The 17,989-nt window shown below is 37.2% G+C and overlaps 1 long non-coding RNA gene across 2 annotated transcripts in view, besides 2 other annotated features; it reads left to right on the top strand.

Annotated features, from left to right (window-relative positions):
- Positions 1–17,989, top strand: part of LOC124901975 (uncharacterized) — a 267,232-nt gene that overhangs the window by 19,832 nt on the left and 229,411 nt on the right. For both annotated transcript variants that reach the window (XR_007061002.1, XR_007061003.1), the window contains exon 3: positions 7,883–7,967. This is a non-coding gene — a long non-coding RNA (uncharacterized LOC124901975). The remainder of the gene's footprint in view (positions 1–7,882; positions 7,968–17,989) is intronic.
- Positions 5,474–5,768: a silencer, noted in NCBI's record as "tiled region #14354; HepG2 Repressive non-DNase unmatched - State 24:Quies". NCBI's record gives its function as "represses a minimal TATA promoter and a strong SV40 promoter by Sharpr-MPRA in HepG2 cells {active_cell/tissue: HepG2}" and the evidence as "EXISTENCE:reporter gene assay evidence [ECO:0000049][PMID:27701403]".
- Positions 5,474–5,768: an enhancer, noted in NCBI's record as "tiled region #14354; K562 Activating non-DNase unmatched - State 23:Low". NCBI's record gives its function as "activates a minimal TATA promoter and a strong SV40 promoter by Sharpr-MPRA in K562 cells {active_cell/tissue: K562}" and the evidence as "EXISTENCE:reporter gene assay evidence [ECO:0000049][PMID:27701403]".

The following is a 17,989-nucleotide window of genomic DNA, read 5'->3' as shown; positions in this document are numbered from 1 at the left end:
TTATTTTAATTTTGGTTAAATTTTTATCCAAATCTATTCAGAAAAAAATTTCACAGAGTATAGTACAACATGGTGATGATAGTTTATAGCATTGTATTATATTTTGAAAATTGCTGGAGAATATATTTTAAGTGTTCTTACTATAAAAAATGGTAAGCATATGAGGTGATGGATATGTTAATTAGCTCAGTTGAGCCATTCCGCAATGTGTACGTATTTCAAAACATCATGTTGTACACAATAAATATATTCTATTTTTATTTGCCAATTAAAATCAACAGAAGAGAAAGTGTTTTATTTTTTATGGTAACAATTTTAGACTTTGTTCTTTCTGGATAGGACTAGTCAGTAACACAGTAATTACATTTATTGCAAGCAACAACATAGCTTTAAAAAAAACTTAAAGCTGAAAAAGTAAAACTAAAACTCCAAGAAAGTTTTTATCCTCAATGTTGTCTTTTGGAGCAGAAATTTTTAAAAATATGCTGTTTGCTCTCCTCTGGTGATAAGCTCAAATTGCATTCCACAGGGATTAAAACTGCCCCTGCTGGAACAGATTAGCCTGTCTGATTTCCTCCTTATGTCACCACTCACTTTCTCTTTCTCTGGAGTCCTGGCCTTTGATTATCTTAGATGTTTATGATTTTGTATATGTAAAGTATTTTTGAAACTTCCAAATAAAATTTTTCTTTTATATTTTGAACTTCACTTTTAACTTTGCAACTGTTGTTTAGTAAATATTCACTGTTCCTTTTCCTCTTCTCTAATGCAAAAAGAAAACATTCTTGTTCCATTGATGTTGGACTTGACTGTGTTCCTTGCATTGGAGTATGAGTGATTGTGATTTCACCAGGCTTTCTCGGGCTTTTTATGGACTTCCATGGTTATGATTTGACTCACTTGGCCTTTTTCACTGCTGCCTCTGAATGGGAAAATGAGAAAGGAATGTCTCAGGGGATTGCTGCCCCTTTGACCTGGGTCCTGCAATGACAGACAAAGGAAGTCGACCTAAACATGACTTTCAGCCTGAAGTGGAACCATTGCAGCCCATCTCTAGATGTGTGAATAATACCTTAGCTTATGTTGGTGGCCACTGCAATGTTTTTGGGGTTGTTTTATATGCAGTATTAGTATCCCCAAAACCAACAAACAGAGAAAATCTCCATGCAAATAAGTAAAACAGTTAAAATTTTAATATTCACAAACTGGTTTAATATTTTGCCACAGTTTATTATGTGTATTCACTTAGGAATAGCTGAATTTGTGAATTGATCTCATAAAACAGCATTAATAAACACATGTGGAGCACCTGGAAAATGCCTTTATGTCAATGAGTTTTCATTTTGTATTTCTTCCTTTTTGAAGTCTGAGTTATTACATTTGTTCACTTGTGCTTTCTAATACCACCAAATATAGCTAAATACATTTTCATTAAAATATCACAGTTAAAAAATGAATCTTAGGCAGTTTTTGTTAGAATACTTATGAGACTAATTTGGGCACTAAGCCTCTGAGTGTAGGCTACATGCTGTGGGAGGAAGCAGAAAATTCACCTTTCCTTGTATTCACAGCATTTGCACTGTGACTGACACACGGTAGGTGACTTATAAGCATTTGATTGAATTTAAAATGTCTTGATGCTATTCTATTCTGTGGTTAACTGCCAGAAATAGGGGAAGTGCTGTGACAGAATGATTCAGCTATGGACTTCCAGACAGCAGCCCTATGATCCACCTGTGTTTTCCTCATCATGTGTTGAAAATTATTATTCAGGCTTTACTTATTCATAAATATATACTGATCATCAATGTGGCCTGGGTATCTATGCTCCTTTCCCCAAGCAGTGCACAGTCTAGTTGAACAGAAATGCAAATATGAATCTGGCAGAAAGGTAAGGGATGTTCTCTTGCCTGCTACTGAGGAGAGCATGTTTTGTTTCCTTTCAGTACTAGGAGAGGGAATCAGTGGCATGGTAATTATGCTCATCTTTGGGGAGGAAGAGTTTTCAACACATTGTGTGATTCTGCCTAGGCTAATTCTGAAGATAATTTTTCTTGACCATTCATTGCCAGTTTAGCTTCTAGTAATGATGTCAGTAATCTTGACATCTGCTTGAAGAAAGGATGTAAAAATTTTCTTTTGAACTATACAATATTAGCACATTTTACAAAAAAATCAGAATTTGGAATAGATGCCTGCAGTGCCTATTTCTCACCGAAGAACACAGCACTGTGCTAGTTTCAGGTCTTACTTACAATTTACTTGATCAGGGAATTAATCCTTTATGTAGTTAATTAATCAAGATCAAACCTTAACTTTACATTTTCTTGCTGTTCAAAGGGCTTTAAAGTTCAATTCTAACGTGCCTGAGGCCCTGCTAATTCTAAGAAGAAAAAGTCTTTGTGAGACTTATACTCAATAACAGAGATGAGCAAACTATGGCCTACTGCCCAAATCCACCCACTGTCTGTTTTGATAAAGTTTTATTAGAACATGGCCATATTAGTTTACGTATTGACTGCAACAGAGACAATATGGACTGCAAAGCCTAAAATAGTTTCCATCTGGACGTTTACAGAAAAATGTTGCAGATCTCTACTCTATTAGCTGTTTCATGATCAGTGACAGACTATGATTTTTTTCTGCATTATTGCCTGAAATCTAACTGATTTAGGCATTATCTCAATGGCAATAAATTAATTCAAAATTGATAAGCGGTTAGAAAGGAAATAACACATTATACTTGAAAGTCTCCTTTGCTAGGAGATTTAAAGGGCTTTTGCTATGTTGTTTATTCATCTCTTCAGCAAGCCTGAAACTATTGGGTCTATTTAATTCCACTTTGTAAAAATCCTGATGGGAAATGTGTGGCTATATATTGAAAAATACTAGTGTATGTTGGGTGCTAAGAGGATCAGAAAATTTTTCAAATGATAATGAGTCTCTTAAATTACCTGTAAACATTTTCTGTAAATGTGGATAAACAGGAAGGAAACAGGAAGAAAATTACATTTCTTTAAAAAATACTCTATAATTCATTCCAAAATAGTCTTTTACTCTTCTGAAACATTCTTTTCCTGTACAGTCTGAATTTAGTGAGTTCCCATAATATCTATTGATACCGTCTCTCAATTTCTGCATTACAGCATCTATTGTCTCTACAGGAACAATCTGAAAAAAAAAAAAAAAGTGATTTCTTGACTTGCTCTTGGCTCATGTTCATATATTTATAAGATGCTGTCATGATTACTTGACAAATCTACAAAGTGAACCACATCTGCTGGTTTTGAGCTAGCACAGCTGGAAGTTCCTTAGCTTCTGTACTAAACTTTTTATATGGGTATGATTCTTAGTTGCCTATTCTGTCTGTATTTATGCAAATTACAGTGTTATTTATAAGCAAGTAAATAATCATTTCTAAGACAACATCTGCACTACTGTCTGCTTATTAGACACCTGCAGAATCAGCTTGCTCTGAATAGAAGGCCATATAGTGCATGGATCAGACCATAGCTTGAAATAAATTGCAATTATTTGTGTGCTTATTGATTTCAATCTTAATTTGAGGCATTTCTTTATTAGTGATTGGTTTTAGGGATGCCTTTTATTTCGAAGCCTTTTTAGATCTTCCAAATATAAAAATGTAATGGGATGAGAACTAAAGAAAGATACAAACTTTAATTCTGGTCTCCCAAGTCACTTACAAAGTATGTGACCTTATGACTATGTGATTTGACATCTTAATTCATCTTTCTTCATCTGTGAAGTAGAAATAATAGCACCAATCTCACTGGGATATCCTGAGGATTAAATGAGAAATGTACATAAACACACTTTATTGCCTGATAGGCAGTGTATGCAATAATTACTGCTTCTCTTTCTTTACCTTTCTCTTACTCCTTCCAAAGCATAAACTATCTTTTCCCTCAGCCACCAAAAATGTTAGAAAATGAGTTATAGGAAGAGTCTGTAGACAGGAAGAGGGAATCCTAAGCTATGCCTAGAACTACTAGAATTAATTATTATTCAAATTTACAATGCTTTCTTTGGAGAAACAATAAAAATCTTAAAAAAAGAAATAAACTGGAGGTAGCAATTGTATCATTTCAATATCTAAATGACTTGCAGGTAAGAGGATGGAGCCGAGAATAAATCATTGTGAAATCCATTTATGTAATGAATATAATGGTGTGTAGTAGTGTACCATCTATCTGAAGACTCCGTCAGACACTGAAATAGAAATTAGGGATTATATTTATTTTAGTCTTATCTCTAGCATTAATGTTTCTATGAACTGAACAAGTTCACAAGCATGCTTATAATGGGAAATTGGATTAAAGGAGAGTTTATAATAAACTAAAAGTTACCTCAGTTTAGTATCTATGCTGTTTAATGACATTGATCTTTTTTAATCCATCTCCTGTATTCACTCTTTGTATGACCACTAGCCAATTATAGAAAAATTGTTTCCACTTGTTTTCCTAACTAATTTATTGGTCATTCCTCTATCAGTTGTGCTCTTACATCTATCCTACTTATGAGCTTTTTTCTCTCTAGTCAATGCTGACCTCTATTCATTAGAGGCAACATCTGTGGACTGAAAAGCAAAATAGTTCTGTTCCTACCTTTACCCTACCACCAGTTAGTCATATAATATAGAAATAAATTGTTCTTCAAGCCTTAATCCCCTTGTTTGCTGGACTCTTATATAATCATGGAATTGGATTAGTTGGATTAATTGAAAAAAAAATGGACCAAAGGTCAGGACACTTGAAGTCCAGCTTTGTGTTGACCTTAGGCAATTCAATCAACCCTGTTAGGCTTCAATTCCCGCCTTTGTAAACTAGTAGATCTCATAGTTTCGTGGAACTTCAGCTCCAGAATGATCTTAGGGGTCATCTAGTCAACCCTCTTGCTTTGCTCATGAGGAAGCTCAAAAAACTTATGTCCTGCCCAACGTCCCAGCAGTTGATTGAAGAGTAGCAGACCATGTCTTCTGACCCCTGGGCTGAGCTCTTCTCACCCTAGCACCTGAGGCCCTTTCCATCTAGATCATATAATTCTAATAAGTATCAAATGAAAAATTGTGGAGGCTTTTCTGGCATCTAGGTATATGAATTTAATTAACAATAATAATAATAATTCAGTTATATATTTTAAATGGTTCACAGATTATGGTAAAATAGTCCTAAACACTGCTTAGTACTGTCCTCCAAATTTAAAAGCAGGAGATTCTGAATATTTGCAGGGTGACATCTGTCACTTCTCACCTGCCTTCTCTTTCTGTATAATGAAAGAGACGGGTTGGGGAGGAAAGCCTCAGGGGACTCCAGTTAGCTGGTATGGCTGATGAGGCCGCAGAAATTAAGTATTTTTTAGTTTGTGATTTCATAGCCAAGGAGACATTCTAATATTTGCTGGGCTATCAGACACAAAATCTCTGGTTTCACCTGGATTGGCTGCAAGAGTAGAGAGGGGATAATTCTGGCCTTCATTTATAGGTTGTCTTTGGCTTATGAGACCTGATATTCTGGGTTTACTGACTTCTTTGGAGCACATGAGAACAAAACAGTACTGGAGGTAAGGCGGAACTGAGTCATCCTAGAAATGCAGGCAGGGTTGATTTAATCATCCATCGGGACATAAAACACATTTTTTGAATTTATGCCCAAATTTTCCTCACCCAGAAGGGAAAGTTCAGGAAGTCAGTGTTGTACTTTCTAAGGACTACTAGACATTTACTCACTTGCTAAATCTCAGAGTTGTAAGGTACTTCAAGTCCAATTCCCCTATTTTGTGTATGGGAAAACTGAGTAGTAGAAAGAATTGAGGTTAATTCACTCAATTAACTGGACATAGGCACTCAAGAACAGAAGCAAGCCTAGATTCTGGGTCTCCTTAGCCCAGTTCATTTTCTGTTATATCACATCAAATTTGAGAAAAGAAAACTATTATGTTGATGGAATAAAGAACACACTTAATATGTGTAAGTGAGTGATCCTCCAGAAAAAGTGACACAGTGAAAGATGAGAAGAACTTCAAGTCAATCAAATACCATCTGGATAAAGAAGACTCAAATCTAAAAGAAACGTTCAGGCATGAGACTCTTTGAAACAAATGCATATTGGACAGATCCTTATTTCAGGAGTATATTTTGGTAAAAGTTTTTACCCATCAGGCTACCATGTTCTGTGTCATTGAGTAAATTACTGCGAAGTCTTAACTCTTGTTACACTTGCCACTAATGGGTAGTGACAGAGTTGAACCCCTCCTTTCTTTCCTTTTCCTTTTCCTTTTATACTAAAAAGCCTGAGTCTGTGTTGGGAGGGGACAGCTCAGAAACAACAAAAAGAGCCATAACATTTCTTCAGGCTGGAGGGCAGGAGCTCTCTTTGCAAATGCAATATGTCGCCAGATGAGCTTGTTATAAGGCAGAGCCCCATGCTTATCCACAGGTATTCTGAATTGGTCTGGGTTGGGGACCAGCTACATCAGCTTTTCTACATTTTCAGACATGCTGCCCTTGGGATTGGGTGTCATTACCTCGATCCTATGGCCAAGGGCCTGAAAAAAGTAAGTTATCTTTGACCTTGATGAATTGAAGATCATTCTGGAGCAGCTTAAGATTTTGTTAAGAGTAATGAAAACAGTATAAGGCAGAATGAATCTATTGCATCTTACTTTCACACAAGTATTTCTCACAGTTACTGGTACCATGTACATTCCTAACAACTGAGCATTGGGTCTATGAGTGATCCATGGGAAACAGGAGGAATGCCCTGACTACGAAAGTCAGTTTCCTTAATTTAAGGGATTGCATGTCAGTTGGTCTGCTTATTCTGGGTACTGAAATTCTGAGTAGACTTTTATCTTTAACAAAATAAAAATTACTTATGATTACAACAAAATAAAAAGTCAAGAATAATCAAACCACCCTCTGGGATAAGAATTGTATGAAGTTGCTATGCAGGAAACAACAACAAAATGAAGATCTAAGCAAGGGATTGCAAATGAATTTAGTGGAATTCTGTCATAAACTTCCTGACGTCCTCCTATGGGAGTGGTAAAACCCCTCAGCAGGTGGGACTATGGGGTGGTTTTAGTAATTGGGTCTGTAACTGGGTCTTCAGCTGTCTTTGTTCATTGATCCACTTTTTTCCCTCTGTCTCACTGACCTTCTCCCATGCCAGTCCGTGCTGCAATGCTTGTTTCTATGGATTAAATTTCTAAATATCTCTTGTAGAGGATTCCTCAGTTTCTCTTCCTGCAGTTGCTCAATGGTTAGATTTTAAAGAAATTGCTTGTGAAGTGAATCACTAAAAGCACTTGCTTTTGCTTATATACTGTACAAAATTGTATTTTTGGAAATTCTGGTTGATAACCCCTTTTTCGCCCTTTGTATCTCTACCAATTTGCAGCAATGTTTCAGGAGAATAACATTACACCCTCTATTTGATCCATAAGGAACTTGTACATTAAAACCTGCCTGCATTTACTCTGACATTGGTGGAATAACAGCCTCACGGTCTTTCTTAAGAGACATCTTCTCTGATTGTAGCAGCCTGAGGCTTTTCTATTTACTTCTATGTGTATGTGTTGTATAGGTGCAGTACGGTTTTTATAAGCACTGTCCTAACTCAGTTTGGAGATCCTGGCTTGAGGCTAGTCAGTTTTTCTTCTAGAGAAGCTGATTAAATCCAAAACTCCAACCACCTCCCTTCTTGGTCTTTTCTAATTTGGGTCACTATCAATGAGCTCCAATCACCCCAGGGCCAGGTACCAGATAACCAGGGACAGCCCCTGTGCCCCAGAACCTGCTGATAGTATTCAAAGTAGCCAATTCTAAACCTGTTTACCATGCCTTGTCTGTTTCTTCCTGCAGAAACCACAATTAAAAGTTGTTCTTCCTGCCTCTGCTTCTTGACCAACCCCTGAGTGGCCCTGTATAGTGTTCTCCCTAGGAAACTGTGAGTATAACAAAACTATAAAAACCGTGCTTTTTCTCTCTTGACCTGCATCTGGCCTCACCATAGCCACCATACCTCACCCATGGTAAAATGGTCAAAACAATAGTTCATGCATGTTCCAAGTTTTCTCGATGATTATACTTCTTTTCTGTCACTCTAATACATACCGAAGAAGAGAAGAAAAGGAAATGATATAATAGCAAACAAATTCTCCATGTTCTAACAGATCTTCAATAGTTTTAAGGTAAATACCTAAAACAATTTGATGTAATACATGTGGGAGCAGGCTATGAGCGATTCCATTGGAATTCACTCAACATTTTTCAGATGGTTTGTTTTTACAGTTGTGTTCCACATAATGACATTTCCATTAATGGCAGACTGCATACATGACGGCAGTCCTGTAAGATTATAACACTGCATTTTTATTGTCCCTTTTCTGCTTACACATGTTTAGTTACACAAATACTTTCATTGTGTTGCCACTGCCTTATGGTATTCAATAGAGTAACATGCTGCATGAATTTGTTGCCTAGAAATCATGGGCTATAACTGTATAGTCTCAGTGTATTGTAGGCTGCACCATCTAGGTTTGTGTAAGTGCACTGTATGATATTTATATACCAATGAAATCGCCTCAGGATGCATTTCTCAGAATGTGTACCAGTTATTAAGTGACACATGACTGTATTTCATCATTTCTAGCATTTGAAGATTCACACTTCGTGGCATTATTTAAGGTTTGTAAGCTCAACTACTCTTTTGAAAAAGCCAAAACAACGTACAAAACATCTAAGCTTTCAGCAACTTCCAGGGAATAGAAAGTTAGTTTCATGTTAGCTGAAGTTATCCAAGGTTCCCAGCCTGGGACCCTGTGGCTGTAATCTTGTAGGCTGTCTCTGACTTCTAATGAGTTCATTCCATCCCTAGTGCTTATTCAGTCCTTCAAGGGACCCAGTTGTTTTCTCAAGTATATTATAATCTGAAGTAGGGGTGGACACAATTTTCCTGTAAATATCTTCAATGCCTTATCTACTTTCTAAACTTATGAGTAAAGGAAATTTGGAGAAATTGAAAAGAAGAAAAAAGAAAACAATAAGTAAAGAAGGAATTGCTGTTTGTTGCAATAAATTTAAAATAGTGATACATACTGCTTATAAAATAATGAAATATACCTAGCTATAAACTTCAGATATACATAAGAATGGTACTTAATATTGAGTTATATCTACATTAATACTCAACATAAAATGAAGAATTGAAATAGATTCTTTAATTAATTTACCTCTTTCCATCTCCCTTCCTCCAGTGTTTTCTCAGGAGGTTTTATTCTATATTTTTCTTTGCTTGGATAACTAGTAAGTGCTGTATAATTTTCTGAACAAATTCATGAGGGATAAATAATGTCACCAAGTTTACTATGGATCAATATTTCGAGTATAGTTAAGAAAAAACTATCCCCAACAGAATCTTACTTGTAATATGATTCATCATTTAGAGCTACTGTAAATAAAGCACTTTTGAAATTTAAGATAAATCTTATCACTGTGGTCTTATGTGCACCTGATGAACAATTCATCAATAATTAATCTAAAAAAAATTCCCAGTTGATGAATTCAAACAGAATTTTTCTCTCTAATTAGTTCACTGTAGAAATGGGTATTTCCTACTGTTATTGTATATTCTTGAATATGCATAAAACTGATGAAAATTACATGACTTGCTTTGATAGCTTAACAATACTGAATTGTGGTAATTGGGCTAAATTTTTTATGCCTGGATTCATTCAATGAAGTATTTCCTGTGCATATAAAATAAGATTCAGTTTCTAAAGCCCATATATATACTACACAGCTCATACCTCAAGAATATCATTTTAAATAGTGGGTCACGTTTGTAAGAGCAAAAAAGACTATTTACTAGAAGAAGTGGAATATTTAATTTTTAATTTTTTAAATAAACTAACAAATATTTGATATATACCAAAGAATACATTTAACATATATGTAAGTTACAGGGCATGATCAATGGATTTAATGACTGGCTTTTATACTTTAACTCTTAACAGGTCCATCAATGGATCTGTCTTGCATTTTTCCTGTTTGGTCCATGAATGGGCATTCTGCTGGAAAGAGGTCCCCAAGAGGTAGCTTGATCTCCTTGTGTCTCTTCTCTAACCTTCAATCACTGCTTTCATCACCCATCTGTCTAAGAGCCAGCCTTCTTTGTTTCAAGGAATAGAAACCAAGTTCCAGGAAATAGAAATAGAAGATGCCCCCTAACCACATCTGGCCATCCCACAATTCCTGTATTTGCATGTCAATGGTCCAGTTGCATTTGTAGACCAGTTCCTACGTGTATGGCTCTGATTGACCCAGTTTTATTGGTCCACTGTTGGATCAAACTACCATTTCCAGAGACATAGGGTCACAGGGTATAAATGTGGCTGTTGAGGCCAGACCTGGGGATTGAAGGAAGCTTCCAGAGGGAGATACACAGTTAACTGAGTACACAGTCTAAAGTTGTCCACAGTGAAATATCCATTTCCCATTTCCTAGTGTTTTGCCTGTAGCAATCATTTCTAGGTGAAGAATCAGAATTTCTAGCTTTCATTCAGGTGATAGCTCTGAAGTAGCTACTGCATGTGGGCATTATAAATATTGGATATTTTGCTTCAGACCCGGATTTTTTGAGAGAAAGCAGCTTATCCACTTCTTAGTTGTACAAAATGCTTGGTAGTTAAGCACCATCTGATTATTGGTCATCTCTTTCCAGAACCAATTTCTGTAGGGTGAATTGGATTTTCTCTAATTTTCTAGCTTGCTCTTTGGCATTTGTGCTAAAAGTTGAAGGCTGCAGGGAAGAAACTGGCTGGGTTGTATCTACCTGGATCCTATGTTTTGATACATTTAAATATTGGGAGGAAAATATTTTGTTTCCACTCATCAAGAAAAATTGCAGTGCACGAATCTGTATCTTTATCTGAAGTATAGCCAAATATATGTAGTGGTTATGGCATAAATATTCTAGACACAGAGAAAGAAATTTCTATTTTTTTTCAGAGAATTTTGGGTTAAGTCGGTAAGCAAAGAGTAAGTAAGGGATCAATTTGTTTTCCAGAAGAAACTGGCTGAAGCTACCTAGCATTACCCTGTGAACCCCACCTCAAGGCAGTGGGGGAATATAATAGATCCAGTAGCACAGAGTTATTCTATAGTAATTTGCCATTGCTTTTAATGGCAAAAACCACAATTACTTTCGCACCAACCTAATACTTCTTACTTAACATATGGGGAACTTGGTGATTTCTCTATGTCATTATCAGCACCTCACACAACACTGCAGGAGAGCATACTTGCTCAGATCTTGGACTCTGCATCAGTCAGAGTTGGGCTGGAATCTTTCCTCCATCTCTGTTTGTGTAATGTTGATCAATAACCCAGGCTCTTTGAATTTAATTGTCTCCATCTAAAATAATGTAATAGGCTCACCCTGTGGATCATATTAATGTTGGAAAAGGACTTAGTATAGGATCTAGGATCTGATTAACACTCAACAGGAATGGCTAACATTTACTGAGTACTTACAGTATGCCAGACAGAACACTATGTACTTTACATACACACTGAATCCTCATTATGATCCTATGAAGAGGTGCTACTTCACAGATTAGGAAATTGAGGCAGAAAATGTTCAGAACCTTGCCCAGGGCAACAGTGACAAAGCGAGGCAATCTGGCTAACATCTATGATCTTAACACTCTGTCGTGATGCCTTCTCAATGAATGATAGTTACTATTATTGGTGTCATTGCTGTTATTGTTGTTGCTGCTGTTACTTGGAAATTAGAGAATTCTGCACTCAAACTGAAGCACCAGTCACTAATTTGGGAAAGAGCTCTCACTATTCCAAAGGGATAACCAAGTTAGGTATATCTGGAAAAGGGTATTTGATGATATTAGTGTATAGGTAAAGGATATTCTATATAAGCACAGATCTTATTTTCCTCAAGCCCTCAATCTGCTTCCAAAATATCCCAGAATCTTCAATACTGTCTTTGGCTACTCAAAGTCTCAAAGTTGGCTGTCCTCCCCAACTTCCTCTTGCTCCTTAATTACTTCCACTTTCTGTCCATCAACAATACTCCTAAATCCCTTGGTGTGACTCACATCTCAACCATGTGCTAGAATGAAATATAGCTAGTTATCTAGTTAACCCCAAAAGGTAGATTACCTGAAAGGTTCCCAAAGAAATAATATTTTGAAATAAGAGCATATTAACAGAAATAAAGTTATAATCTCACACACTGTGTTAAAGTTTTGATGAATTTCAAGTAGCGTAGGGATTGGGGTAGGAAGAAGGGTTTGAAAGGAGGGGGGATGATTTTCTAACAGTTAAAATCACACTGAAGATTTTATCCTGCTATTAGGTTACACTGATTATAAAATTATTCCTAGAGAATAAGATAGCCTCTGGACCGTGCATCTCACTCTCCTCAAACATTGAGTACTTTTAATTTGACCAGCTGAAGGGGTACATTCAGCTACTCTCATTTAATCATTATGTTTCCAAATTAGCTCTTTACAGTAAGACTTAATACCATCAACTCTTATTAAGAAGAGGGACGGCCGGGCGCGGTGGCTCACGCCTGTAATCCCAGCACTTTGGGAAGCCGAGGGGGGCGGATCACGAGGTCAGGAGGTCGAGACCATCTTGGCTAACACGGTGAAACCCCGTCTCTACTAAAAATACAAAAAATTAGCCGGACGTGTTGGCAGGCGCCTGTAATCCCAGCTACTCAGGAGGCTGAGGCAGGAGAATGGCGTGAACCCAGGAGGCGGAGCTTGCGGTGAGCCAAGACAGCGCCACTGCAGTCCGGCCTGGGCAACAGAGCGAGACTCCGTCTCAAAAAAAAAAAAAAGAAGAGGGGGTAGGGCATATGAGCTGTCACTAGCCTCTCCGTTAAAGTCAGTTTACAAGAAATATGGATCTGAATAATAACATGACCAGGAGAAAGCTTGATTAAATCATACCATAGACTTTGCTTTAGGTAAAGAGTCAATTTTGATAAACAGATGAAAATTGTGTGTTTATGTAATAATGTTTTTGTTAAAAAATTATATTTCCTATCTTAGCATTGTGGTGTGTTGAGACATATACAATCACAGACTTACATGACATGAAGACACACTTTTAGGAATCAGTGCTAATACGTAACCTAAAGACCCTCATACTCAATGCTTATGAGAATTTGTTAGACAGTGGCTGCAGGAATTGATATTAAACATATTTTTTCTAACAAGTGGGACTCAGAAACACTAAGAGTTTCCTGCATGGCATCAGCTGTTCTATGGTCAAACCAGGAACTGAGCCCAATCCTGGGAAAACAAAGGTCAGGCTCTTTTCAGGATACCTTATGGACCAGAGGCCAGCTTGTCTTGCTGTGCCATGCTTGGGGCATTTGCTCAGCTTGTGTATATGCTTCGACTCACCACTTCATGTCTGTTTCTATCTTCATTTCTTGCCACATCCCATCTGCTTCTTTGTCTTACAAGAGCACCATACTATTTGTAATTTCCAGAACACATTACAATTTTTCTTTTCTTTTTCTCACAATGTTCTCACTGATAGGCTTGACCCCCAAACTCAATTATAAAAGAATGACATAAAAATTGATAGAAATAGAATTTTCTTGTATTTTCTTCCCCCACCCCATTGTCATGTGCACTCCACTTGGGAGACCACTGACCTAAAGCAGGTGGTTCTGAAATTTAAAAAGGGTAATTCTGTGAGCTCCATTGTGGTAATCATTTCATAATGTATACCTATATCCAAACAACACACTGTGTACCTTGGATATGTATAATTTTTATTTGTCAATTATACCTCAAGCTAAAAAAAATAAATTGGAAACACACACATACACACACACATAATAATCAGCAGATGCTCTTTGTGAAAGTGCAAATTTCCAGGTTTTCTCTCAGACACTGTCTTCAGTGGAGACAAGATGGGGCCAGGAATCTGTAATTTTGAGATACTCCTCAGGTGATTCTGATGCAGAGGCTTCATAGATCACATTTGAGAAAAACTGTTCTAGAGAAAAGAAGGCATTTGAAACCATCCCTTATTAAAATATGAGTTCATCCCAGGATTCTTCTGTTAGTAGGATTCTTGTAGTAGAAATCACATGAGCAGATGTGTATTAGTTATGTGTTGCTGTGTAACAAACGATGACAAACCTCGTGGCTTAAAATAAAACCCATCTTATTTGCTCATGATTCTGCGGGTTAACACACTGGGCTGGTCCCAGCTGAGTTGTTCTGCTGACCTTGTTGGGGGTCACTTCTTGCAACTGCAGTAGCTGTCAGGTAGGCCGAGCGCAAGTGTTCTAGGAATCCTGAGCTGTGATGTTTGCTTTCTGCTCCATGTGTCTCATCTTCTAATAGGCTGGCCTGGATTTCTTCACATTTGTGGTTTCAGGGCAGCAAGAAGGGACAAGACCCTCCACACAGGCACCTTTCGAGCCTCTGCTTGCATTGCATTTGCTTATATCTCATTTGCCAAAGCAATTCACATGGCTAAACTCAGAGTCAATAATGTACAAGTTAATCTACCAGGGCATGAATGCGGGCAGGTGTGCATCACTGGGAGATTCATTTGTATGTAGACCACTCATGACATAAGATAACATAACATTTTTAAATTAAATACAAATTGAATCTGTAGTACAGTCATCCCTTGGTATCCACAAAGAATTGTTTCTGGCCGGGCGTGGTGGCTCACGTCTATAATCCCAGCACTTTGGGAGGCGGAGGCAGGTAGATCATCTGAGATCAGGAGTTCGAGACCAGCCTGACCAACATGTTGAGAGCCCATCTCTATTAAAAATAAATTAGCCGGGCATGGTGGCAGGCGCCTGTAATCCCAGCTACTTGGGAGGCTGAGACAGGAGAATTGCTTGAACCTGGGAGGCAGAGGTTGCAGTGAGCCAAGATCGGACCACTGTACTCCAGCCTGGGTGACAGAGTGAGACACTGTCTCAAAAAAACAAAAACAAAAATAAAAATAAACAAAAACAAAAAAGAATTGTTTCCAAGATCCACCACAGAAACAAAAATCCAAGAATGCCCAAGTGCTGTGGTCTGCGGATCCTGAAGATAGGAAAAGTCTGCCCTGCTGTATTTTCATTTATGGTTGGTTGAATCTGTGGATGTGGAGCCCATGGATATGGAGGGCCAACTGTAATTTTTCTGACAGTACTTTACAAACAAATGTTTTCTAGAAATTACTGAGGAGACTTGAATATTATACTGCTAGATGCTTCAAATACACATTATAGAAAAAAATATGACTTAGGTGAGGAAACTCTTCTGCATCATAGTTGGAATTAGAGAAGTAATACAAGGTTTACTCCCTCTTCAAATTCTGCTCAATAGCAGCTTTTAGGTTTTCATGGAGAGGAAGCCTGATGACTGCTGGGTCAGTTGATGTCAAGCACTAAAAACCAAAGAAGTGGTTTATCACCCTCTATGTGTGGAGTTGGCCAAGCAGGGAACCTGGGTAGAGGGGTGCTAAGAGGAGAGTGAAATATCATATGACATAGGATTTTAAGCATGTTTGAGCTGATGCTATATCTATCAGAGGAATAAAGCTTTGTGTTCATTAGTTGGTAACACCTTAGGATTTTTAAAATAAAAAAGCTACCAGGCAAAATCAAGAGGTAAAGCATAAATGGATTGTGGAGTAACATGAGATAAATTTAAGTCATATTAGCCAGTATAGGAAAGCATTAGATTTTTTTCATCCATATGTGTCTAATTTAATCTAGAAAGTTAAAGTGAACATCTGTTGGGTCAATTAATCAATATTATTTCATAAGTGTCTCCTGTTTATGTAAAGCACTGATTGTGTTAAGTATGATTTTCAAACTTATATGAAAAAGCTGACATTTCAGTTGGCCAAAAGGCAAACCATCTCAATTCTTGCTTTTAAAATTATGTTTATTAACAGGGAAAATGTTTACATTAGGGAATTTGTGGGAACCATTTATTTAATTTTTGCTCTGAATTTTATACTTTATATTTTACCTTTTTGTCTTTTTGGATAATTTTGAAGTGCAAGGTTACAGTTTTCTCAGTCTCTGTTCATGGTTCCAGGTTAACAACATTTGGTAAGAGTAAAGAAAATCTTTCATTTGTTTATATCAAACACGTGTGTTTAAATTAACTATGTCCAAACACTAAAGCTGTTTCTGTTCTAAAGGGATATTTTTTAACTTTCCATATCTCTCTTCTGTTTCATAAGTCTTTGTTAAGTACAAACTGTCCAGTATAAAACGAAAGATATCTTGGTCAGTAAATAATTTATTTGATCCATATAGACAGCTGGACCAGAACATCTCACCCCAGAGGAACAATGTTTCGCCACTTTTTAGTGTTGAGAGCATGGATTCAAAGCTCTGTTTGGTACTGTAGAAATCATTCCCACAAAGCCAAGAAATAGGGCACTCAAAGCAAACACCAGATGAAGGGGTTATTGCCTCAGAGCTAATGGGCCTCATTCCAAGGTTGATGCTTTCCTTTCATAGAACACAAATACAAACCTCAGTCACTGCTTCTCTTCATTCCTCACTTCCTGCCTCACCTGCTTCTCTTTTCTGCTGAAATTCATTTTCACCGTAATGATCCGGAGTAGGAATGGGTGCAATGTATACATGTCTAAATGAGGCTGAGTACTGCATCTGCAACATACCTTGATTGAGGGCCTACAATATGCCAGGCATATTTTTAGATGCTGAGGATACAACTGTGGAACATCACAAGGTCCTTACCCTCAAGGGGCTCGCATTCTCTTGGGAGAGACAGACAGTGTATAATTCTATAGATTGGTGAGTGCTTTGCATCAAATAGAAACCAGACTTAGGGGACAATGTGATGGTGGTTATTATTTTAGCTGCATGGCTAGGAAATATCTTTCTGAGGAGGTAATGTTTTACATAAATATGAATAAAATGAAATAGAAAGTCATGTGTAAATTGAGGAGAGGGGAATTCCAGGCAGGGGAAACAGCAAGAGCCTAAGCCTAAGATGTGAGTTTGCTTTGGTGGAGTGGAGTGAAGCATGGTGGCCAAGAATCAGATCACATGAGGTCTTGCAGGCTGTGGTAAGGAATTTAGACCTGATTCTAAAAGTCACATGACCAGATTTACATTTTAACTATTTCACTTAAGACCCCCACTTTAGCTAATAATAGTATAGCTCCAATTTATTGACCAATTCCTTCATGGCCGCCATTGTTTAGTTTTACGTATTATTTTCTTTCATCTTTGCAACAACCCTATTAGGAGATAGTCTAGCCTTAAAGATGGGAAAATAGAAGAACAAGGGGTTTAATAAACAATTTGTCTCTGCTAATAACTGATTGAGCTGGGATTCAAGCCCAGGGCTGTCTGGCTCTAAAGCCCACACTCATTTCACCACAATGCTGTTTCTTCTACATAAGGAATCCTACAGAGACAAAGTATCCAAGGAAACCAAGAATGACTTGGGTATTGATCTGTGTATTGATGGCAGGAGAAGGATGAAAGGATTCTAAATTCCTAAGCATGAGTCTTGTTTACTAGCCTTGAGCTGAATGTTGCATGGGAAAAAAAAATAAACTTCTGCCTTATTTTGGAGGTCTCTATAACAGGGGCTGAATCTAAATTCTAAACGATACAGAGCTCTAATACTTGAGAACAAAGCTTCCATTTTGTATAACTCTCCTTTACCATCCACAATTATCATATACTGTTCTTTACATTGTAGGTGTTACTTTTTTTAAAAAGTACATTTAAAAGTATACTTTCAAAACATCGATTTCTATTTTTGTCAAAGTCATATATGTACATAGATTTAACAATGCTATAAGGCTTATCATAAAACAGCTGTCTTCTGCCTCGTCACCAACCTGCTCCCAATTGCATTCCCCATTTCCAAAGCCAAACCCTTCTAATTGTTCATATTGTTTTTCTCTGACTTT

This window comes from Homo sapiens, chromosome 8, assembly GCF_000001405.40.
Source record: "Homo sapiens chromosome 8, GRCh38.p14 Primary Assembly".
NCBI lineage: Eukaryota > Metazoa > Chordata > Mammalia > Primates > Hominidae > Homo > Homo sapiens.
Note: the sequence above shows the minus strand (reverse complement) of the source record. Positions and strands in the feature narration are given on the sequence as shown.